The sequence below is a fragment of the Homo sapiens genome, chromosome 2 (assembly GCF_000001405.40).
Source record: "Homo sapiens chromosome 2, GRCh38.p14 Primary Assembly".
NCBI lineage: Eukaryota > Metazoa > Chordata > Mammalia > Primates > Hominidae > Homo > Homo sapiens.
Genome location: NC_000002.12, coordinates 223,189,453 through 223,214,782, shown reverse-complemented (window position 1 = coordinate 223,214,782; position 25,330 = coordinate 223,189,453). Strand labels below are relative to the sequence as shown.

At 40.8% G+C, this 25,330-nt stretch overlaps 1 long non-coding RNA gene across 1 annotated transcript, besides 2 other annotated features; it reads left to right on the top strand.

Moving 5' to 3' along the window:
* The first annotated feature begins 2,649 nt into the window (after nt 1–2,649).
* On the top strand, nt 2,650–11,727 carry LOC105373906 (uncharacterized). The gene is made up of 3 exons (XR_923951.1): nt 2,650–2,690; nt 6,517–6,545; nt 11,601–11,727. It is a non-coding gene; the product is annotated as an uncharacterized LOC105373906 (long non-coding RNA).
* Nucleotides 19,153–19,698: an enhancer, noted in NCBI's record as "NANOG hESC enhancer chr2:224059803-224060348 (GRCh37/hg19 assembly coordinates)". NCBI's record gives its function as "activates a minimal SCP1, AML or CMV promoter by ChIP-STARR-seq in primed H9 embryonic stem cells {active_cell/tissue: H9 hESC(primed)}" and the evidence as "EXISTENCE:reporter gene assay evidence [ECO:0000049][PMID:30033119]".
* Nucleotides 23,857–24,833: an enhancer, noted in NCBI's record as "NANOG-H3K27ac hESC enhancer chr2:224054668-224055644 (GRCh37/hg19 assembly coordinates)". NCBI's record gives its function as "activates a minimal SCP1, AML or CMV promoter by ChIP-STARR-seq in naive H9 embryonic stem cells {active_cell/tissue: H9 hESC(naive)}" and the evidence as "EXISTENCE:reporter gene assay evidence [ECO:0000049][PMID:30033119]".

Sequence of the window (25,330 nt, the reverse complement as noted above, 5' to 3'; positions counted from 1 at the left end):
CTCTCATTAGGAGTGTGCTTTATGATGCAAGCAGAAATCTTAAGCTCGCCTCACGGCAACAATTATTCTTGTGGGCCTTAAGAGTTATAATCAGCTTTGTCATCTTTGTGAAGCATAAACTTGAAAATATAACAAATAATTGCAGCTCATAAACCCTGTAATCTGATAGGAAACCATCTCATAAGCGCATCAGTGTTTAGGAGAAGCTCAGTCTAATACTGGCTCAGGGTCTCATCAGAGCAAAGTGTTGACTCATATGCAATGAACATGCCATGACCCAGAGCTACCATGGGTATTGCTACAAAGGCAGTACCTGTGGAGTTTCTATTTAGGAATTGCTGGGCTTCTCCTACTCTAAATTATATGAACCAAGGTAAAATATTTCATTTATACACAACCATCATTACACAGGTAAGGAAACTGAGGTGAGGGAGGTGCTTCAAAGGTTCTTCCAGCTTTAACATTTCAGCTTGTAGTCCTGCTTGTGTATTGAGAAAGTGGGCATCTCAAAGGAAGCTCCTTTAACTCAGTAAATATAAGTCGTTCAGAGATACATTTCTGAGTAATGTGATGGTTAGTTTTATGTGTCAACTTGACAGGGCTAAGGGACACCCAGATAGCTTATTATTTCTCGGTGTGTCTGTGAGGGTGTTTCTGGAAGAGATCAGTGTTTGAATTGGTGAACTGAGTAAAGCAGATGGCCCTCTTCAACGTGAGTGAACATCATCCAATCCATTGGACCCAGAAGGATCCAAATAGAACAGAAAGGCAGAAGATGGATGAATTTACTCTCTCTTCTTGAGCTGTAACACCCATTTGCTCTTGCCCTCAGATGTCGACATTCTGGTTCTCAAGTCTTCAGACTTGAACTTAATTATACCACCAGCCTTCCTAGTTCTTCGGCTTGCAGAGGGCAGATTGTGTGATTTCTCAGTCTCATAATTGCATGAGCCTATTTCTATAACATACATTATGTCCTTAATATATATTATTACATATTATATTAATTTATCATATTATATAATATATATTCATAAAAATATATATTAGTATTTCATAATAGTATTCCATATATATGCTATTGGTTCTGTTTCTCTGGAGAACCCTAATATACAAGTAATAATAATTATTATCATTATTTCATGTTTCACATGAAATGACGACGTTTCTGACACACCATTTGCAGGGCACGCATTTTGAGCTGATTTTTCAAACAGTACATGAAAGGTTGGCATAGGTCTAGTCTTACTGTTTGTTGCCATTTACATGTGACCATCACAAATGCAAAGAGGTTAAAAAAATGATTCTGTGATTAAAAAACAAGTTTGAGACAGCTTGCCTATTAATATCCCCCCCATTTCTTCAACCAGATTTTCCTCTCTTTTGCCACAGCCTTTGCCCCATCCAAAACCTCAACTAGCATTATTATTGTCCTGTCAAATTTTGAAAGTGCTGCTTTGCACTGTATTAAAAAAAAAAAAAAAAAAAAAAAAAGAGGAGAGGTCAAAACCTGTTGGAAAAGCCCGTTTTTCATACCAAATAATTTGTTTTGGTGCATAGTAGATTCCTAGTCTTTTCGTAAGTATCAGACAAGAAAAAACAGATTTAAATAAGGTAAAAACATAAAATTTTGGGGAAATTTTCAGATTGATTTACATAGCCAAAGGTAGTTTGAATTATCTCTAGAATTGTTAAATAACTAAATGAGGAAATCACATACACACACACACAAATGCAAATGGCTGATAAATACACAAAACTATATTCTGCCTCATCAATAATCTAAGCAGTACAAATTTAAACAAAAATGAGACACAATTACTTATTCTATCAGATTGGCCAAGATTTAAAAGAATCTAAGGACAAATGACTAAAGGGAGTGTAAATTGATATCACTATCATGATGGGCAATTGGGTATATGCATAAATGCCTCCAAACATGCATATTTTATTTGACCTAGACATCCTACTTCTTAGGATGTATCCTAATGAATTAATCTGACAAATGCACAAAGACGTATGTGCAAGTTGTTTATTGTAGTGCAATTTATAATATTAAAAATTGAAAATTTGGTTAAATTTTGTTATAATTGGTGAACCTACACTGACACATCATTATCATCCATTATACTATAATGGAAGATGCATGGCTTTACACATTTGTCTAAACCCATAGATGTACAACACCAAAAATGAATCCTAATGTAAACTAAAACAATTTGTTAATTTGTTAATTTTATGGACACTACAACATTCATTAGGAACTGTTAGCACTTCATGGCACGTTTTCTGTTCCTTGCATGGGGGAAGGGAATATAACATTATAATATGCTTTTTTGACAGAATAAGAGAGTTTATTGAAAAATAGTAGAACTCTTCTCTTTTTTTTTGTTGGTACATAATAATTGAACATATTTATGTGGTACATATGATATTTTGGTACATGTATACAACACGTAATGATCAAATCAGGATATTTAAGATATCCATAAACTCAAATATCTATTATTTCTTTGTGTTGGGAACATTTCAAATCTTCTAGCTATTTTGAAATATATAATAAATTATTGTTAACTATAGTCACCCTACTGTGCTATCAAACAGTAGAACTTGCCGTTTCTATCTAACTGTATGTTTGTGTCCGTTAATCGACTTCTTTTCACCTCATTCTCCACCTTTCCTGGTCTCAGGTAACTATCATTCTAATCTCCAAAACATCCATAAGAACCATAAGATCAACTTTTTTAGCTCCCACAGTGTTAGAATGTGCAGTGTTTTTCTTTCTGTGCATGGCTTATTTTACTTAACATAATGTCCTTTAGTTCCATCTATGTTGCTACAAATGACAGGATTTCATTATTTTCTATGGCTGAATAGTATTCCATTGTGTATACCACCACATTTTCTTTATGCATTCATTTGTTGATGGGGATTTAGGTTGAATCCATGTCTTGACTATTGTGAATAATGCTGCAATGAACATGGGGGTGCAGGTATCTCTTTGATATACTGATTCCTTTTCTTTGGATAAATACCCAGTACTGGGATTGCTGGATCATGTAGTAGTTCTATTTTTAGTTTTTTGAGAAAATTTCATACTATTTTTCAAAATGAACATACTAATTTACATTTCCACCAAGAGTGCATAAAAATTCCCTTTCCTCCACATTATCTCCAGCATTTGTTTTTCTTTGTCTTTTTGATAATAACCATTCTTACTGGGGTGATATTATTAGTTTTGTAGTATATTTTGAAGTCAGGTATTTTTATGCTTCTGGCTTTGTTTTCTTGCTCACTATTGCTTTGGCTATTCAGGGTCTTTTGTGGTTCTATACAAATTTCAGGATTGTTATTTCTATTTCTCTGAAAAATGTCCTTAGTATTTTAATGGAAATTGTATTGAATCTGTAGATGTTAAAATTTAATAACACTAATTCTTCTGATCTATGAGCATGGGATGTATCTCCAATTGTTTGTGTCCTCTTCAGTTTCTTTAAATAGTTTTTTTGTAGTTTTTCTTGTAGAAGTCTTTTACCTCCTTGCTTAAATTTATTTATTTAACAAAGTATTTAATTTTTCTTTAGCTATTATAAATGAGATTGCTTTCTTGATTTGTTTTTCAGCTAGTTTGTTATTGATGTGTAGAAATGCAACTGATTTTTGTGGGTTGATTTCGGGTCCCACAACTTTACTGAATTTATCAATTCTAAGAGCTTTTTGGTGGAGCCTTTAGGCTTTTCTATATATAAGATCATGTTATCTGCAAAGAATGACAATTTGACTTCCTCTTTTCTAATTATTTCTTTCTCTTGATTGATTATTCTGTCTAGGACTTCCAGTACTATGTTGAAAAGGAGTGGTAAAAGTGGATATCCTTGTCTTGTTCTAATTTTTAGAGTAAGTCTTCCAGCTTTTCCCCATTCACATGACCTTTACTATGTTGAGGTACATTCTTCCTGTGCCTAATTTGTTGAGAGTTTTTATAAAGGGATGTTGAATTTTATCAAATGCTTTTTTTGCATCTATGGAGATGATCATATGGTTTTTGTCCTCCATTATGTTGATGTGATGTATCACACTTATTGATTTGCATATGTTGAACCATCCTTGCATTCCTGGGATAAATCCCACTGAATTATCCTACATTCCTGTTTTAATATATTGTTGGATTAGGCTTGCTAGTATTTTGTTAAGAATTTTGATGTCTGCGTTCATCACGGATATTGGCCAGCTTTCTTTTTTGTTCTATCCTTGTCTGGTTTTGGGATCAAAGTAATGCTAATCTCATAGTATAAGTTAGAAAAAAAAAATCTCTCCACTTCAATTATTTGGAATAGTTTGAGAAGAATTAGGGCTAGTTCTTCTTTATATGTTTGGTAGAATTCAGCAATAAAACCATTGGTCCTGTACTTTCCTTATTGAGAGACTTTTTATTACTGATTCAGTCTCACTACTTGTTATTGGTATGTTCAGATTTTCTTTCTTCCTGGTTCAATCTTGGTAAGTTGAATGTGTCCAGGAATTTATACATTCCCTCTAGATTTTCCAATTTATTAACAGATACTTGTTCATAGTAATCTCTATGTTCCTTTGTATTAGTATCAGTATCCGCAGTATTAGTATCTGTATCTGTAGTATTAATTGTAAGGTTTCCTTTTTCCTTTTTCATTTTATTTATATGGGTCTTCTGTCCTTTTTTCTTAGTATAACCAGTGCTTTCTCAATTTTGTTTATGTGTTCTAAAAGCAACTCTTTGTCTCATTGATCTTTTGTTTTGTTTCTTTATTCTCTAATTTGGGTAGTCTTGTTTTGATCTTTATTATGTTTTTCCTTCTAGTAATTTTGGGTTTGGTTTGTAATACCCTTCCTAATTCTTTGAGGTATATTGTTAGGTTGCTTATTTGAAGTCTTTCTGCTTTTTGATGTGGGTGCTTATTGCTATAAACTTCCCTCTTAGCATTGCTTTTGCTGTATCCCGTAGGTTTTGGTATGTGATGTTTTCATTTTTTATTTTTTTCAAGAAATTTTTTTATTTACTTCTTTTTTTTTTCTTTTTCTTTCTTTTTTTTTTTTTTGAGATGGAGTCTCACTCTGTCACCCAGGCTGGAGTGCAGTGATGTGATCTCAGCTCACTGCAACCTCTTCCTCCTGGGTTCAAGCGATTCTCCTGCCTCAGTCTCACAAGTAGCTGGGACTACAGGTGCCCACCACCATGCCCAACTAATTTTTGTATTTTTAGTAAAGACAGGCTTTCATCATATTGGCCAGGCTGGTATTTACTTCTTAATTTCTTCATTGACCCAATGTTATTCAAGAGCATGTTGTTTAGTTTCCATGTATTTGTATTGTTTCCAACATTTCTCTTACTACCGATTTCTAGGTTTATTCCATTGTCACCTGAGAAAATGCTTGACATAATTTTGATTTTTTTTTTTTTTACCTTAAGTTCTAGGGTACATGTGCACAAAGTGTAGGCTTGTTACATATGCATACATGTGCCATGTTGGTGTGCTGTGCCCATTAACTCGTCATTTACATTAGGTATATCTCCTGATGCTTTTCCTCCCCCCTCCCCCAACCCCACGACAGGCCCCTGTGTGTGATGTTCCCCTTCCTGTGTCTCACAAGCATTCTTATACAACAATAACAGACAAACAGAGGGCCAAATCATGAGTGAACTCCCATTCACAATTGCTTCAAAGAGAATAAAATACCTAGGAATCCAACTTACAAGGGATGTGAAGGACCTCTTCAAGGAGAACTACAAACCACTGCTCAACGAAATAAAAGAGGATACAAACAAACGGAAGAACATTCCCTGCTCATGGATAGGAAGAATCAATATCGTGAAAATGGCCATACTGCCCAAGGTAATTTATAGATTCAATGCAATCCCCATCAAGCTACCAATGACTTTCTTCACAGAATTGGAAAAAACTACTTTAAAGTTCATATGGAACCAAAAGAGCCGGCATTGCCAAGACAATCCTAAGCCAAAAGAACAAAGCTGGAGGCATCATGCTACCTGACTTCAAACTACACTACAAGGCTAACCAAAACAGCGTGGTACTGGTACAAAAACAGAGATATAGACCAATGGAACAGAACAGAGCCCTCAGACATAATTTTGATTTTTTCAAATTTGTTGAGACTTGTTTTGTGGCCTAACAGATTGTCTGTCCTGGACAACACTCCATGTGCTGATAGGAAGAATGTGTATTTTGCAGCTGTTGGATAAATTGTTCTGTAAATGTCTGTGAGGTCTACGTGATTTATGGCACAGTTTAAATTCAACATTTCTGTGTTTATTTTCTGCCTAGATTACCTGTCCAATGCTAAGAGTGAGTGTTGAAGTCCTCAACTACTATTGCATTGTAGTCTATCTTTCCCTTTAGATCTAATAATATTTGCTTTATGTATCTGGGTGCTCTGGTATTGGATAAGTATATATTTAGAATTGTTATAACCTCTTGCTGAATTAATTACTTTATATAGTGATCTCCTTTCTCTTTACAGATTTTGACTTGCATCCTGTTTCATCTGATGTAAGTATAGCTATTCCTGCTCACCTTTTGTTTTCATTGGCATGAATGTAGTTGGTTGCTGCAAAAGTAATTGTGGTTTTTGACATTACTTTTAATGTCATTATGCTGCAAAAGTAATTGTGGTTTTTGCCATTAATAGCATTAAAAGTAATGGCCAAAATCGCAATTGCTTTTGCACCAACTTAATTTTTTTTCCTTTCTTTGCTTTCAATCTACACGTGTCTTTACATGTGTAGTGAGTGCCTTGTAGGCAACATATAGTTGAATCAGGTTTTTTAAAAGTCTATTTAGCCTGTCTATATTTTTTAAGCATAAAATTTAATCTATTTACATGCAAAGTTATTATTGATAGGTGAGGACTTATTCCTGCTATTTTGTTAATTATTCTCTAATTCTTTCATATATCATTTGCTCTTTTCTTCCTCTCTTATTGTTTGTCATTGTGATTTGCTGGTTTTCTGCAGCAGTAATATTTGACTCCTTTCCTTTTCTCATTTGTATATTTATGTACATGAGTTTTACACTTTTATGTGTTTTCATGATAGTAGATATCTTCCTTTTGCTTCCAGGTGTAGGAATCCCTTAAACATTTTGTGTAGGGCCAGACTACTAGTGATGAATTCCCTGTTTTTGCTTGTCTGGGAATGACTTTATTTCTCCTTCAGTTTTGGAGGATGCATTTGTTGGGTTTGGTATTCTTGCTTGCAAAAGGATTTTTTTTCAGTACTTTGAATATATCATCTCATTCTCTCATGGCCTGTAAGGTTGCTGCTGAGAACATCTGCTGTTAGTCTGATAGAGATTCTCTTATATGTGACTTGATGCACTTGTCCTGCTTTTTTTTTAAATTCTCTCTTTGTCTTTGACTTTTTACAGTTTGACTATAATGTGCCTCAGAGAAGACATTTTTGGTTGATATATTTGGGTATATTTGAGCTTCCTGTATCTGGTTGTCTCTAACTCTTGTAAGGCTTGGGAAATTTTCAGCCATTATTTTATTAAATAGGTTTTCTATGACTTTGCCCATCATTTTTTCTTCTGGAACTCCCCAAATTCATATTAGGTTGTTTTATGATGGCCCATATTAAAGTTATAAAATTATTATTTTTTCTTTTAATTTCTCTTTTGTCTGACTGGGTTATTTTGAAAGACCTGTCTTCAAATTCAGAAATTCTTTCTTCTGCTTAATATGGTCTGTTGTTGAACCTCTTGTATTTTTATTTTATTCATTGAATTCTTCACTTCTAGAATTTGTTTGGTTCTTTTTTATGTCTATCTCTTTGTTGAATTCCTCATTCGTATCATACATTGTTTTTCTGATTCTTTGTATTATTGATCTGTGTCTTCTTGCATCTCACTGAGTTCCTTTAAATATAACTATTTTGAATTTTTTTCAGGCATTTCATAGATTTCCTTTTCATCAGGTTCTATTACCGGAGAATTACAGTGTTTCTTTGAAGATGTCATATTTCTTTGCTTTTTTTGTGTTTCTTGTGTCTTTACATTGACATCTGCACACCTGGTGTAACAGCTACTTTTTCCCATTTTGTGGATTGGCTTTTGTAGGGAAGAAGTTTTTCCCATAGATGTACCTGTAATTAACATTTGACTTTTATTCTGGATGGGTTTAGTAGTGTCTTCTCTATATGATTTCTTTGGCTGTAATCAGTATCAGTAGTGTCTCTGAGTTCCCTAGTGGCTTAGGCTGTGTTTTTTAGTGGAGGCTGTGGCAAGGCTTTGCTGGGGACAGGGATGCCAGGTGTTCCAGTCCTCAGGTACCAGTGGTGGTGGCAGTGGGTTGGCCATGCTAGTTCTCAGGCACCTAAGCAATAGATGTGGGCACCTGTGGTAATAAGGCTGGGCGGGTCAGTCCTTAGGTTTCCAGGCAGCTTGCTCAGTTGCCAGTGATGGCCAGTTCCAGGTGGTGCACATGGGTGATTGCCAGTGGCAGTAGTAGCTGCAAGCAGGGCAGGCCAGTTTGTAGTCCTCCAAGAACTCATGGGGCCCCAGCAGTGGACAGGGTAGCCCTATCCCCAGGCCCCCAGATAACATGCACATGGGGTGGGGGCAGGCAGAGTGGGTCCATCCTCAGGCCCCAGGAGGCTTGCATAGACACCAGTTGGGCATATTAATCCCCAGACCCTGGGATGAGGTATGTAGGTGCCAGCACCAGCAGCAGGCAGTGCAGACCTGTCCTTAGGCCCCTCAATAGTGTGCACAGCCACTAGCAGTGATGAGCAGGGCAGAGCAGTTTCCAGGCACACAGACAGTGCATGGAATTACCAGCAGAAATGGCAGTGGGTGAAGCGGGTCTGTCCTCAAGCTGCTGGATGGCCTGTGCAGGCACCAGCAGTGGTTGGCAAGGAGGCCCTCTTGTCAGGCCCCCTGAAGATGTGCGTGGGTGCCAGCAGCAGTGGGTGGAGAGGATTAATCTTCAGTTCCCCAGATGATGCACTGGAGTGCCAGCAGCAGTGGCAGTGGGCTAGGCAAGACTGCCCTCAGGTTTACAGATTCTGTGCATGGGCACCTGTGGTGGCAGAGAGAGTAGGACAATCCCCAGACCCCCAAATGGCACACTTGGGCACTGGCAGTGGTAATGGTGCATGGGATCGGCCTGTCCTTAGTCCCCCGAATGGCACATATGGGCACCAGCAGTATTGGGCAGGGTGGCTTGATCCCCAGACCCCCAGATCGCATACTTGGGTGCTGGTGGAGAAAGGTGGTACAAGCCTGTTCTCAAGGTCTCTGGGTGGCGCTGTCAGGAGAGGATGTGAGATTTGTCCTCAAGCCCCAGGACAGTGTCTGGGAAGTTCAGTCCCTAGGTTCCATGAAGGCACATGCAAGCACACAGGAGGCAGGGTTGCAGTTAGTGGCAGCAGCCCAGAAGAGGCAGAGCTCTCAAGCTCTGTTGAGCCCATGCTTTGGTTCCCTTTGTCCCAGGGGCAGCCTCCCTGTTGCACTGCATCGCCTGTTTACCAAGGGTTAGCACTCTGAGAGGGCTGGAATGCTGAGACCTGGCTGCGCTGCTAGGTCCAGCCAGCATTGGAATGCTATAGTTCTTTGGATGGACATGGGGGGATGTCAGAGGGGCTTCATGGATGTGGAGATGCAGGGGTTGCTGGGGCCCAGGGCAGCATGTAGTCTGAGAAGTGTTGGGCTCCCAAATGCCAATGCACTGCAGCTGCTTAGGTCTTGGGAGGTGATGTGGGATGTGGAGAGAATGTCCTGTCTGTAACAATGTTGTCTCATGGACCCCAGGCAGTGCCCTATACTAGTCTTAGGGCCCATGAGGTCTAAGGGACTCTCTCATAGCTAGGACTGCAGGAGTCTGTGGTGGGAATGTGGACCACTAGGGATCTCTCACTTACCTTTACCCCACAATGGAGCATTTCTCCCAGCTCCAAGCCAACCCCAGCCAGGTCAGCTGCATTGTTTCCCTTTCCTTCTGTGCCTGGGAGGTTCCCTGTCACTTTCCTGCTAAGTTTCAGTGTTCTCTCTTAGACACCCTAAGCCCCTATTCAATGCGTGTTTACCTACTGGCTGTTTCAGTCCTTCTTTGTGGAGGAGGCTAGTGCTAGGTGCCTCTAGTAGTCATCCTGACTCTTTATGTTTAAAGACCCTTTATTCCTAGCACATTAAACACCTTTTGAGTTGTATCGCATTCTAAAATGGTCAATTAACTAAGTACATTTAAAAAGAGAAAGGAAAAAGCATTTTCGTGGACTTTCATTTGCTGGAAGCTGATGGACATGATCCTATTGACTCATAGATTACCCCATCCCCACCCTGCTTTGTTTATGTAAATATGTTTCTTAGGGAGGGGAGTTGGGGGTAGTGAACAGAGCTCTCTCTTCTTTTACTCTTGTTAGTATCTAGAGCCACTTTCTGATTCAAGTTTCTCCAAAAACAGAAATTAATTCCTCTTGTTCAAAATTACATAACTTTCTTAAATTCACTTTCTCTCTCAGCAATACTCAGAAGTGTTTATCTCAGCTGTGTCTTATGTGGTTAGAAAAAAATGTGCTCCCGATGTGCCTGTAGAAAAAAATTCAATAACAAAGGAAGTATTTTCTCTTTCTCTGCATGTGAATTTGATTCTCTGAGCATGGCCTTCAGGAGCAAAATGGGTTTGGTGAATTTGAGTCACTGAGTGTAAGAGCCTGGATCACTCAAGTTTGACTCACCAGTGTCTTGATGGCCCTGTCACCAAATATGCTCATCCTTATTTATGCCTTCCACATTTTTTTGGAGTCTCCAAAATATGCTTTGCATTGCTGTAATGGCTGTCACCATTGGAAAACAATGAATATTTTACAAATAGAAGCAGTCCCATTTCTGTCATTGGACTATACCTACTTCTGTTGTGTCAGGACGAGCCGCAGACAAAACTCCTCAGACACCGAGTTAAAGAAGGAAGGGGTTTATTCGGCCGGGGGCATCAGCAAGACTCCTGTCTCAAGAGCCGAGCTCCCTGAGTGAGCAATTCCTGTCCCTTTTAAGGGTTCACAACTCTAAGGGGGTGCGTGTGAGAGGGTCGTGATTGATTCAGCAAGCGGGGGTACGTGACTGGGGGCTGCATGCACAGGTAATTAGATCAGAACAAAACAGGACAGGGGTTTTCACAGTGCATTTCTATACAATGTCTGTAATCTATAGATAACATAACCGATTAGGTCAGGGGTCGATCTTTAACTACCAGGCCCAGGGTGCGGCGCCAGGCTGTCTGCCTGTGGATTTCATTTCTGCCTTTTAGTTTTTACTTCTTTCTTTGGAGGCAGAAATTGGGCATAAGACGATATGAGGGGTGGCCTCCTCCCTTACTGTGACAAATTTCTGCTTCTGTATTAAATCCAAAATCTCAAAAAATAACTTAGAAACTTAGGCTATCCCATCAAAATCAAAACACAGAAGAAAAATGAGGTAGAAATATTCTAGAACAGAATATCATGGTTACTGAAATGTTTCTTGCTGATTTTCTGAAGAAAAGTTTTAGTAATTCTTTCATTGTTAAGATTAACTTAACCATACAATTCTGACTGCTGTCTTATTTCCTAGGGATGATTTCACCTCACTCTTCCATTTCTGAAGCATGTGGGATTTTCTAAAATTTAGGGCAAACAATCAGTCAAAGAAAGAGAAAGCATTCCACCAAAGGAGAAAACACCAAGGATCCGCTTTCAGGGTAATGTTGCTCAAAGGGATAAAAAGTGAAACTTAGACTGAAATCGCTCATCTTTATTCAGATTGAAAAAGACAGGTTTTAAATCTTCCAAATTCAATGTGTTATAGAAAGACTATGAGTTTGCAAGTCAGCAAATGTGTATCCTCTCAGTTATTTAGCTGTCTGACCTTCAGCAAGAGATTCAAACTTTCTGGGTCTCAGTTTCTTTTTCTTTTCTTTTCTTTTCTTTTTTTTTTTTGTAAAAGAGGAAAATTAATGCTTGCTTCATATGGTTCATACAAGGAATGAATAAGAGTTAATATTTACCCCCATACCAGTTATCTATCGCTAAGTAACAAACACCTCAACATCATTTCTCACAAATCTCTGGGATGGCTGGGTGGTCTCACACGGGCTTGCTCTTGTGGTTGTATTCATCTGGTGGGTCAGCTGGAGCTGGAGAGTCTGTGTTGACATCGTGCATGTGTCTAAGGCCCTGATGGGAATGGTTGGAAGTCTGGGACCTCTCTCTTCACATGGTTCCTCATCATTCAGTAGATTAGCCCACCTTTATATGGCATCTAAGTTCCAAGAAAGTGAAGGCAGAGGCTTCAAGGCATCTTGAGGCTTAGGCTCCAGAGCTTCCAAAACATCATGTCAGCCACATTCTACTGGTTAAAGCAAGTTAGAATGTTAACTAGGATTCAAGGTGGAGAAATAGTATCTACCACTCAATGGAAAGTGCTCTGTTCTCAGTGTTTGTGTCCCATCAAATAGATATGTTGAAATATTAATTCCCAAGGTAATTGCATTAGATTGTAGAGACTTGAGAGGGTTATTAATTCTTGAAGATCATGCCCTCTTTGAGATTAGTGCCTTATAAAAGAGACTCCAGAGAGTGAATTCACGCCTTCCAAAATGTGAGGACATAGCCCAAAGGTACCATCTATGAACCAGGAAGTAGGATTTTGTCAAACACTGAATCTGCTGGCACCTTGGTCTTGAACTTTCCAGTCTCCAGAACTGTGAGAAAAACATTTCCATTGTTTATAATGATATTATGATATTTTGTTATAGCAGCCCAACCAAAACAGGAAGAATGGCAGTATTATATTGCAAATAAGTGTGAATATAGAGAATGTTATTCATTAAGGCCATTATTATAATACACTCCCTCTTGTATTATAGTCTGTGGGCCCTGTTTTCCAGTGCTGTAAAGTTTAGGAGAGTCTTTCATAATTCTATTGATTGGAAACTATGGTAAATTATTACAGTAATGGCACCCAGTGAATCACATGCCTTTTCATATTCGTGCCTTTATGTATTCCCCTTCCAAGTCGACATTGGACTTGGCCATGTGAATTGCTTTGGCCAACGGAACATCAGCAAATGTAACACAAATAGAAGCTTCAGAAGGGCTTGTACACTGGGGCTTGTTCTCTTGAACACCTTGAAACTGCAATGCCATAAAAATCCTGGGATGAAAAGCCACTGCAGAAAGAAGAGTGCAGCTGGGCCCAGGTTGCAGTTCTACCAGCCAGATACAGCTACATGAGTGAGCCCAGGTAAGACCAGCAGAAGGGACACCCAGTCAACCCACAGAATCATACATAAATGGCACTTGTTTTAAGCCACTGAGTTTTGGGGTACATAGCAATATATAACTGAAATATGGACTAAAAATATTCTAGCCAAAGGGTAGCCTATAACAATTGCCAAATACTAGCTTCACTACAAAATCACTAAGTCATTTCATGGTTTTAGACATAACATAGAGATAATATAATTAAGTGGTCTTTAAAATAACTTTTAACTATAGAATTCTTTTTTAAAACAACATCTTATCAGAGATTTAAAACAAGGAGACATCTTATTAGAATAAATTCATTTTATTGGTTCAAATTTATGGCATTTTGCTTAGAAAGCCAATTAATGAAAACACAATTCCTTTTTCTTTCATACAAAAATATAAATCCAGGCTCATAAATGGCAGTGAAAGACTTCTTGCAGTTTTAGCTTACAATTAATTTATATGTTTTCCTTTAGCAATATGGCATAAAGAAAATCCTCATTCAAGACAGACAAGTACTTATAAGTGTTAGGGTCATTTCACCACTTGCCTTGGAGTCTCAGGATATTGAATGGTCAGGAGAAGCATTATAACTTACTCCTACTTGGAAAAATATGAACCCATCAGTCCAAGCAAATACATTGATTGAAGTCCTCTGATGAGTTTATATTTTAAATATGTGACATTTAACTATTTAAAGATTACCATCTTTAAAAAGTTTAAAATCTATGTAGAAACTTAAATTCAAATTGATTGTTTGTAGAGCCCTTGAAGAACCCTGATGGTACTCTGCCATTCTTTGCAATTTATTTTGCGAATTACTATAACACTTGAAAACTGGTTTTGCTTTGTCGTTGATTTTGTTCAAAACTGAGGGAAGCGGATTGGGCATTTTAAAATAATGATTTCTCCCATGTTTCAAGTGTCAGTGCATTCTCAAAACCATTTCTTGGGCTCTTTAAAGAACATTCCTGCTGGTTTCATTTTTTATTCGTCAAGAATTTTTGTAAAAAATCAAAAACAAAAACAAGAAAAAAGCAAAAACCCAGTGAAAGGAACTGCCTCGCGAAAGAAATGTCACAATTAAAACTGAATGGTATTTTTCAGCTCATTTGTGTGAACTGGCAATCTACTTGAGACTTCAGCAGGGGGTCTGCACTTCATTAGTTCAGCCGGCAAGAACATGCTCTCTTCAAGAACACGCTCTCTTGAAAGCTTTGGTTTGCCTTCACCACTGTTTTTGCCAGGGTTGACAGTTTAACAACTGGAAGCTGTGTGCTCTTCATCTAATTTTAATGAAGCTTTTCCTTTCAGAAGGAAAACCTGACAACAGAGAAGTCTTCAAGGAAGCCAAGTAATTCAACCACCTGACTAAATTTTTGGAGGAAAACAGAGGGTTCTCTTAAGGGTGTGGAATAATCAAAGCAGCCATTGCTATGCTCCTGCAAAACAAGTCCCAGTAGCACAATGGAAATAACTGGATTGTTTAGCATTTCAACACCCATCAACAGTAAGACATATCACAAATATGTGGGAGAAATTTGCATCTATAATCTAGGAAAACTGGGATTTTTAAATTACTTCTGCCTAGGTAGAGGGGGAGTAGAAGAAAAGGCAGAATGGAAAATGTCAGGGTTTCCTTCCTTCCTTCCTTCCTTCCTTCCTTCCTTCCTTCCTTCCTTCCTTCATTTATTCTACCAATATCTACTGAGCTACTATTGATGTGTAATCACCAGGCTCAGCACTCAGGATACAGCAATATATGAGACAGACACAGTTTACAGCCCCCTGGGGAGTTATACCTACAAAAGGACAAAGAGTGGAAAAAGCAAGAGGAAGACATTCAGAGGAAAATTTTTGGAATTCTGAGGCCCACTCTGGATGATATATGGACTCTGACTGTTTGGGACACATTTCTAATTTCTGTTTAATCCTTACTCACATCTACTACATATCAAAGGTCAAATAGAAGTTATAAGGTGAGGTGAGGATGTCACTGAGGTACTGCTCTTTGGCCTTCTGGTAAGGTGCCCCCACAGGTGAATTCATGGATATTCAGATAGGATTTGCAGGCTAAGAACTCTGAATTGTTAGCATCTTGAGAAGGGAAACTGTCCATAAGGACAGACACTTCTTACCAAGATCACAGGGGTAATGTGTAAACCAGAATGGCAATTAATTAATTAATTTACACTGAAATACAACTGTTAGACAAATCAGCTCAAATAATATATTATCTTGCAGCAGACAGAACTATATGAGAAATCAGACTATGATGAGAAAAATTCTAGGTAGCATTCTCCACTAAGTCAACATGAGACCAACTTTCTTACTACAAGGCCAGTCTTACCTGTGAGATTGTATAGTAGCTCTTTTTTTGGTTTGTTTTTTTGTTCACCACCCATGACATCTTTATTTTTTAATTTTTTATTATACTTTAAGTTCTGGGATACATGTACAGATGTGCAGGTTTGTTACATAGGTATACATGTGCCATGGTGGTTTGCTGCACCCATCAACTCATCATCTACATTAGGTATTTCTCCTAATGCTATCCCTCCCCTAGCCCCCTCCCACTCCCTGACAGGCCCAGGTGTCTGATGTTCCCCTCCCTGTGTCCAACTGTTCTCATTGTTCAACTCCCACTTATGAGTGAGAACATGCAGTGTTTGGTTTTCTGTCCTTGTGTTAGTTTGCTGAGAATGATAGTTTCCAGCTTCATCCATCTCCCTGCAAAGGACATGAACTCATCCTTTTTTATGGCTGCATAGTATTCCATGGTGTATATGTGCCACATTTTCTTAATCCAGTCTACCATTGATGGGCATTTGGGTTGGTTCCAAGCCTTTGCTATTGTGAACAGTGCTGCAATAAACATACGGGTGCATGTGTCTTTATAGTAGAATGTTTTATAATCCTTTGGGTATATACCCAGTAATGGGATTGCTGGGTCAAATAGTATTTCTGGTTCTAGATCCTTGAGGAATCACCACACTGCCTTCCACAATGGTTGAGCTAATTTACACTCCCACCAACAGTGTAAAAGCATTCCTATTTCTCCACATCCTCTCCAGCATCCGTTGTTTCCTGACTTTTTAATGATCACCATTCTAACTGGCATGAGATGGTATCTCATTGTGGTTTTTATTTGCATTTCTCTAATGACCAGTGATGATGAGCTTTTTTTCATATGTTTGTTGGTCACATAAATGTCTTCTTTTGAGAAGTGTCTGTTCATATGCTTTGCCCGCTTTTTATGGGTTTTTTTTTTTTCTTGCAAATTTGTTTAAGTTCTTTGTAGATTCTGGATATTAGCCCTTTGTCACATGGATAGATTGCAAACATTTTCTCCCATTCTGTAGGTTGCCTGCTCACTCTGATGATGTTTCTTTTGCTGTGCAGAAGCTCTTTAGTTTAATTAGATCTCATTTGTCAATTTTGGTTTTTGTTGCCATTGCTTTTGGTGTTTTAGTCATGAAGTCTTTGCCCATGCCTACTTCCTTAATGGTGTTGCCTAGGTTTTCTTCTAGGGTTTTTATGGTTTTAGGTCTTATGTTTAAGTCTTTAATCCATCTTGAGTTAATTTTTGTATAAGATGTAAGGAAGAGGTCCAGTTTCAGTTTTCTGCATATGGCTAGCCAGTTTTCCCAACTGTATGGTAGCTCTTGATTCTGGTCTCCAATGCTTGTGCTATCAGCCCACCTCCTACCTGGTGACAGAAAACACTCCCGTTACCATAAACGTAGGAATAGCCATGCTTAGCTAATCAGGGCAGTCCACGATGGGGTGAGTGGTGGGCAATGAGATTGTGGAGTGCCTGGCTGTGACCCCTGTAGGATAGTGAGGTGAAGTTGGTCATATAACCACATTTGCATGTTTAATGATCCCTTTACATTTTGGGGAGAACAGACGAGAGCAGGGCCAGAATGTGTGAAAAACCCTTTGACAAGATATAATGGTCACCTGGCATATGACTGTGGCAATGAGCATGAGAGAAATAAAGATTCCAGAGCTAGAGGGTAAAATCCCTAGGACTTGAAGAAAGTTGACTGTAGGAGGCAAGCGCAAGAAATGTCAGGGGCAGATTCTAGGTTTCAGGCTTGTTTGTGGAATTGGTAAAGAACAATTCCATTGAGTGAGAGAGGAAACTGGAAGAGGCCTGGGTAAAGAACTGTCAAAGGCACTTGAACCAGAGCAACTGCATCTTGAATAGGGGCTGGGTAAAATAAGACTGAAATCTACTGGGCTGCATTCCCAGACAGTTAGGCATTCTAAGTCACAGGATGAGATAGGAGGTCGGCACAAGATACAGGTCATAAAGACCTGCTGTTAAAATAGCTTGCAGTAAAGAAGCCAGCCAAAACCCACCAAAACCAATGTGGCAATAAGAAGGACCTCTGGTTGTCCTCACTGCTACACTCCCACCAGCTTCATGACAGTTTACAAATGCCATAGCAACATCAGGAACTCACCCAGTATGGTCTAAAAAGGGGAGGCATAAAAAACATATCCCTTGTTTAGCATATAATCAAGAAATAACCATAAAAATGGGCAACCAACAGCCTTCAGGGCTGCTCTGTCTATGGAGAAGCCATTCTTTATTCCTCTACTTTCTTAATAAACTTGCTTTCACTTTACAGATTGACCTGAATCCTTTCTTGCACAAGATCCAAGAACCCTCTCCTGGGGTCTGGTTCTGGATCCCTTTCTAGTAAGAGAACAGCTTTCCAGTAACAGAACAGGGAACTGGGGAAGTGTCAGATAAAGGATCAACAGACTCATGGTGGTTGACAGTTCAGGATCTAGAAGACACAGAAATCATGGAGTCTCCTAAGGTCTCAACACAGACAAACTCAAGTTCAGTCCTGACCCCTCCTAGAGGCCAGCTTTGGGTCCTCAAAGGAGCCTCCTGTGAAGAATGCTTCCTGCCGCTGCCTCCCTGTGGGTTCACTTACACAACAAGGCATTCCTTCAAGAAAGCAGGAGTCCCAGATTCCAGGGAGCAGCGGGGGACTGTGTGAAATGTCCTGCCCCAGGAAAAACGATGTCAGAAGAAGACGCTGGGGACCCAAAGGGAGCTTTCACTGGCCAACCCGTTCATGTACTGTTCATGACCTTTCATGAAGGTTCCCAGCAACCTTCATGCCCTCAGGGCCTCTGAAAGTAGTCAGACACCCTGAATTCTGACCCTGGGGAAAGCTGAGGCCAACCTGGACTACTAAGATGGTCAAATATAAAATATAACTTGAAGAAATGCAATGTTATTATGTTTAGGTATAAACCATTTATTGTTTTACCAGAATAAGTTAACAAAATGTTGCCTGGTGAAGCACCAGATTAAGATTTTAAGAAATGGAAAAATAATTATTTGAGACTAGCATATCAAGATTTTAATGAAATGGAAATTATATAGGACATTCATCTCAAACTGGCAGCCTTAGATAATTTAGCCCCCAAAGTGAGTTTTTAAAAACAATTCAAATTAATTGCCAACATTTAAAGATCCATAAATTCCAGGCGAATATCAAGATTTTTAGCTTTTCTTTAAAATGGCCACAACTCTTTGGACCCCTCTGATAGAAACTTTAAAAGTTTACATTTCCATGCTAAAAATACAGCTGAGATACATCTTAATACAATGATTCTAAAGGGACAGACACTGGACCGAGATTCTCTGAGTTTGAATCCTGGCTGTGCCACCTCCTGGTTGGGTGACTGGGCAAGTTATTAAACCACACTGACCCTTGGTGTCCTCACCTGTAAATCAGTGATAATTATAGTACTTATCTCATAGGGTAGTTACTATGTGCCTGGCATATAATTATCATATTTAGTATAATATAATAATTATGACAATATACTTATGACAATAATAAGCACTGCATGTTATTGCTATTGTGACTATTTTCCCTTGCAAATCCTTTCTCCACTGGCAACATAAAGCTAATTTTATAGCCCTGCTAACTTAAAACAAACTCTCTATGGTAGAACCTAAACAAATTGTCAGGCCTCTGAGCCTAAGCTAAGCCATCATATCCCCTGTGACCTGCATGAACACATCCAGATGGCTGGTTCCTGCCTTAACTGATGACATTCCACCACAAAAGAAGTGAAAATGGCCTGTTCCTGCCTTAACTGATAACTAATTATCTTGTGAAATTCCTTCTCCTGGCTCGTCCTGGCTCAAAAGCTCCCTTACTGAGCACCTTGTGACCTCCACTCCTGCCCACCAGAGAACAACCCCCCTTTTTCCTTTACCTACCCAAATCCTATAAAACGGCCCCACCCCTATCTCCTTTCGCTGACTCTCTTTTTGGACTCAGCCCGCCTACACCCAGGTGAAATAAACAGCTTTATTGCTCACACAAAGCCTGTTTGGTGGTCTCTTCACACGGATGCGAGTGAAATTTGGTGCCATGACTCGGATCGGGGGACCTCCCTTGGGAGATCAATCCCCTGTCCTCCTGCTCTTTGCTCCGTGAGAAAGATCCACCTACGACCACAGGTCCTCAGACCAACCAGCCCAAGAAACATCTCACCAATTTCAAATCTGGTAAGTGGCCTCTTTTTACTCTCTTCCCCAACCTCCCTCACTATCCCTCAACCTCTTTCTCCTTTCAATCTTGGCGCCACACTTCAATCTCTCCCTTCTCTTAATTTCAATTCCTTTCATTTTCTGGTACAGACAAAGGAGACCCAAAACTCCGGTGCCGGTCACGGACTAGGGAAGGCAGCCTTCCCTTGGTGTTTAATCATTGCAGGGACGCCTTTCTGATTATTCACCCAGGTTTCAGAGGTGTCAGACCACGCAGGGATGCCTGCCTTGGTCCTTCACCCTTAGCAGCAAGTCCCGCTTTTCTGGGGGAGGGGCAAGAACCCCAACCCCTTCTCTCTGTGTCTCTACCCCTTCTCCACTTTTCTAGGGGAGGGGCAAGAACCCCTCAACCCCTTCTCCTTCACCCTTAGCGGCAAGTCCTGCTTTTCTGAGGGAGGGACAGGAACCCCGACCTCTTATCTCTGCGCCCTGATCCCTTATTTCTGAACCCCAACCTCTTATCTCTGCACCCCAACCCCTTATTTCTGTGCCCCGACCCCTTCTCTGCTTTTCTGGAAGGCAAGAACCCCCACCCCTTCTCCGTGTCTCTACTCTCTTTCCTCTGGGCTTGCCTCCTTCACTATGGGCAAGCTTACACCTTCCATTCCTCCTTCTTCTCCCTTAGCCTGTGTTCTTAAGAACTTAAAACCTCTTCAACTCTCACCTGACCTAAAATCTAAGCATCTTATTTTCTTCTGCAATGCCACTTGACCCCAATACAAACTCGACAGTAGTTCCAAATAGCTGGAAAATGGCACTTTCAATTTTTCCATCCTACAAGATCTATATAATTCTTGTTGCAAAATAGGCAAACGGTCTGAGGTGCCTGATGTCCAGGCATTCTTTTACACATGGTGCCTCCCTAGTCTCTGTTCCCAATGCAACTCGTCCCAAACCTTCCTTCTTTCCCTCCCACCTGTCCGCTCAGTCCCAACCCCAAGCATTGCTGAGTCTCTCTAATCTTGCTTTTCTACAGACCCATCTGACCTCTCCCCTCCTCACCAGGCCAAGCTAGGTCCCAATTCTTCCTCAGCCTCCGCTCCTCCACCCTATAATCCTTTTATCACCTCCCCTCCTCACACCAGGTCCGCCTTACAGTTAAGTTCCGTGACTAGCCCTCCCCCACCTGCCCAGCAATTTACTCTTAAAAAGGTGGCTGGAGCTAAAGGCATAGTCAAGGTTAATGCTCCTTTTTCTCTATCCCAAATCAGATGGTGTCTAGGCTCTTTTTCATCAAATATAAAAATCCAGCCCAGTTCATGGCTCGTTTGGCAGCAACCCTGAGACGCTTTACAGCCCTAGACCCTAAAAGGTCAAAAGGTCATCTTATTCTCAATATACATTTTATTACCTAATTTGCTCCCGACATTAAATAAAATTCCAAAAATTAAATTCCAGCCCTCAAACCCCACAACAGGACTTAATTAACCTCACCTTCAAGGTGTACAATAATAAAGTAGAGGCAGCCAAGTAGCAACATATTTCTGAGTTGCAATTCCTTGCCTCCACTGTGAGACAAACCCCAGCCACATCTCCAGCACACAAGAACTTCCAAATGCCTAAACCGCAGTAGCCAGGCATTCCTCCAGAACCGCCTCCCCCAGGAGCTTGCTACAAGTGCCAGAAATCTGGCCACCAGGCCAAGGAATGCCTGCAGCCCAGGATTCCTCCTAAGCCATGTCCCATCTGTGTGGGACCCCACTGGAAATTGGACTGTTCAACTTACCTGGCAGCCACTCCCAGAGCCCCTGGAACTCTGGCCCAAGGCTCTCCGACCGACTCCTTCCCAGATCTTCTCAGCTTAGTGGCTGAAGACTGATGCTGCCCGATTGCCTCGGAAGCCCTGTAGACCATCACAGATGCTGAGCTTTAGGTAACTCTCACAGTGGAGGGTAAGTCCGTCCCCTTCTTAATCAATACGGAGGCTACCCACTCCACATTACCTTCTTTTCAAGGGGCTGTTTCCCTTGCCTCCATAACAGTTGTGGGTATTGACAGCCAGGCTTCTAAACCTCTTAAAACTCCCCAACTCTGATGCCAACTTAGACAACACTCTTTTAAGCACTCCTTTTTAGTTATCCCCACCTGCCCAGTTCCCTTATTAGGCCGAGACACTTTAAATAAATTATCTGCTTCCCTGACTATTCCTGGACTACAGCTACATCTCATTGCTGCCCTTCTTCCCAATCCAAAGCCTTCTTTGCTTCCTCCTCTTGTATCCCCCCACCTTAACCCACAAGTATAAGATACCTCTACTCCCTCCTTGGTGACCGATCATGCACCCCTTACCATCTCATTAAAACCTAATCACCCTTACCCCACTCAATGCCAATATCCCATCCCACACCATGCTTTGAAAGGATTAAAGCCTGTTATCACTCGCCTGCTACAGCATGGCCTTTTAAAGCCTATAAACTCTCCTTACAATTCCCCCATTTTACCTGTCCTAAAACCAGACAAGCCTTACAAGTTAGTTCAGGATCTATGTCTTATCAACAAAATTGTTTTGCCTATCCACCCCATGGTGCCAAACCCATATACTCTCCTATCCTCAATAACTCCCTCCACAATCCATTATTCTGTTCTGGATCTCAAACATACTTTCTTTACTATTCCTTTGCACCCTTCATCCCAGCCTCTCTTTGCTTTCACTTGGACTGACCCTGACACCCATCAGGCTCAGCAAATTACCTGGGCTGTACTACTGCAAAGCTTCACAGACAGCCCCCATTACTTCAGTCAAGCCCAAATTTCTTCCTTATCTGTTACCTATCTCAGCATAATTCTCATGAAAACACACGTGCTCTCCCTGCCGATCGTGTCTGACTAATCTCTCAAACCCCAACTCCTTCTACAAAACAACAACTCCTTTCCTTCCTAGGCATGGTTAGATACTTTTGCCTTTAGATACCTAGTTTTGCCATCCTAACAAAACCATTATATAAACTCACAAAAGGAAACCTAGCTGACCCTATAGATCCTAAATCCTTTCCCCACTCCTCTTTCCATTCCTTGAAGACAGCTTTAGAGACTGCCCCAACCCTAGCTCTCCCTGACTCATCCCAACCCTTTTCATTACACACAGCTGAAGTGCAGGGCTGTGCAGTTGGAATTCTTACACAAGGACCAGGATCGCGTCCTGTAGCCTTTTTGTCCAAGCAACTTGACCTTACTGTTTTAGGCTGGTCATCATGTCTCCGTGCAGCGGCTTCTGCCGCCCTAATACTTTTAGAGGCCCTTAAAATCACAAACTATGCTCAACTCACTCTCTACAGCTCTCATAATTTCCAAAATCTATTTTCTTCCTCACACCTGATGCATGTACTTTCTGCTCCCTGGCTCCTTCAGCTGTACTCACTCTTTGTTGAGTCTCCCACAATTACCATTATTCCTGGCCGGGACTTCAATCCGGCATCCCACATTATTCCTGATACCACACCTGACCCTCATGACTGCATCTCTCTGATCTGAAGGGGTGGGTTGCCCCTCCACACCTGTGGGTGTTTCTCATTAGGTGGAACAAGAGACTTGGAAAAGAAAGAGACACAGAGACAAAGTATAGAGAAAGAAAAAGGGGCCCAGGGGACCGGTGTTCAGCATACGGAGGATCCCGCCAGCCTCTGAGTTCCCTTATTATTTATTGATCATTATTGGGTGTTTCTCGGAGAGGGGGATGTGGCAGGATCATAGGATAATAGTGGAGAGAAGGTCAGCAGGTAAACACGTGAACAAAGGTCTCTGCATCATAAACAAGGTAAAGAATTAAGTGCTGTGCTTTATATATGTATACACATAAACACCTCAATGCCTTAAAGAGCAGTATTGCTGCCGGCATGTCCCACCTCCAGCCCTAAGGTGGTTTTCCCCTATCTCAGTAGATGGAATATACAATCAGGTTTTACACCGAGACATTCCATTGCCCAGGGACGAGCAGGAGACAGATGCCTTCCTCTTGTCTCAACTGCAACCAGGCATTCCTTCCTCTTTTACTAATCCTCCTCAGCACAGACCCTTTATGGGTGTCGGGCTGGGGGACGGTCAGGTCTTTCCCTTCCCACGAGGCCATATCTCAGGCTGTCACATGGGGAGAAACCTTGGACAATACCTGGCTTTCGTAGGCAGGGGTCCCTGCAGCCTTCTGCAGTGTTTTGTGTCCCTGGGTACTTGAGATTAGGGAGTGGTGATGACTCTTATAGAGCATGCTGCCTTCAAGCATTTGTTTAACAAAGCACATTTTGCACCGCCCTTAATCCATTTAACCCTGAGTTGACACAGCACACGTCTCAGGGAGCACAGGGTTGGGGGTAGGGTTACAGATTAAAATGGAGTCTCTTATGTCTACTTTCTATACAGACACATTAACAATCTGATCTCTCTTTCTTTTCCCCACACTGATCCACCCCAACCTGATGTTCACCCCATTTCCCCACATTTCCTTATTCCCTGTTCCTCACCCTGATCACACTTGGTTTATTGATAGCAGTTCCACCAGGTCTAATCACCACACACCAGCAAAGGCAGGCTATGCTATAGTACAAGCCACTAGCCTGCCTCTTAGAACCTCTCATTTCCTTTCCATCATGGAAATCTATCCTCAAGGAAATAACTTCTCAGTGTTCCATCTGCTATTCTACTACTCCTCAGCGATTGTTCAGGCCCCCTCCCTTCCCTACACATCAAGCTCAGGGATTTTCCCCTGCCCAGGACTGGCAAATTAGCTTTACTCAACATGCCCCAAGTCAGGAAACTAAAATACCTCTTGGTCTAGGTAGACACTTTCACTGGATAGGTAGAGGCCTTTCCCACAGGGTCTAAGAAGGCCACCACGGTCATTTCTTCCCTTCTGTCAGACGTAATTCCTCGGTTTGGCCTTCCCACCTCTATACAGTCTGATAGCAGACTGGCCTTTATTAGTCAAATCAGCCAAGCATTTTTTCAGGCTCTTAGTATTCAGTGAAACCTTTATATCCCTTACAGTCCTCAGTCTTCAGGAAAAGTAGAACAGACTAATGGTCTTCAAAAAACACACCTCACCAAACTCAGACACCAACTTAAAAAGGACTGGACAATACTTTTACCACTTTCCCTTCTCAGAATTCAGGCCTGTCCTCAGAATGCTACAAGGTACAGCCCATTTGCGCTCTTGTATGGACGTTCCTTCTTATTAGGCCCCAGTCTCATTCCAGACACCAGACCAACTTGGACTGTGCCCCAAAAAACTTGTCATGTCTACTATCTTCTGTCTAGTCATACTCCTATTCACTGTTCTTAACTACTCATACATGCCCTGCTCTTGTTTACACTGCCGGTTTACACTGTTTCTCCAAGCCATCACAGCTGATATCTCCTGGTGCTATCCCCAAACCACCACTCTTAACTCTTAAAGTAAATAAATAATCTTTGCTGGCAAGGCTATGCTGAACCTCCTTAGGCACTCTCTAATCAGATGTCCTAGGTCC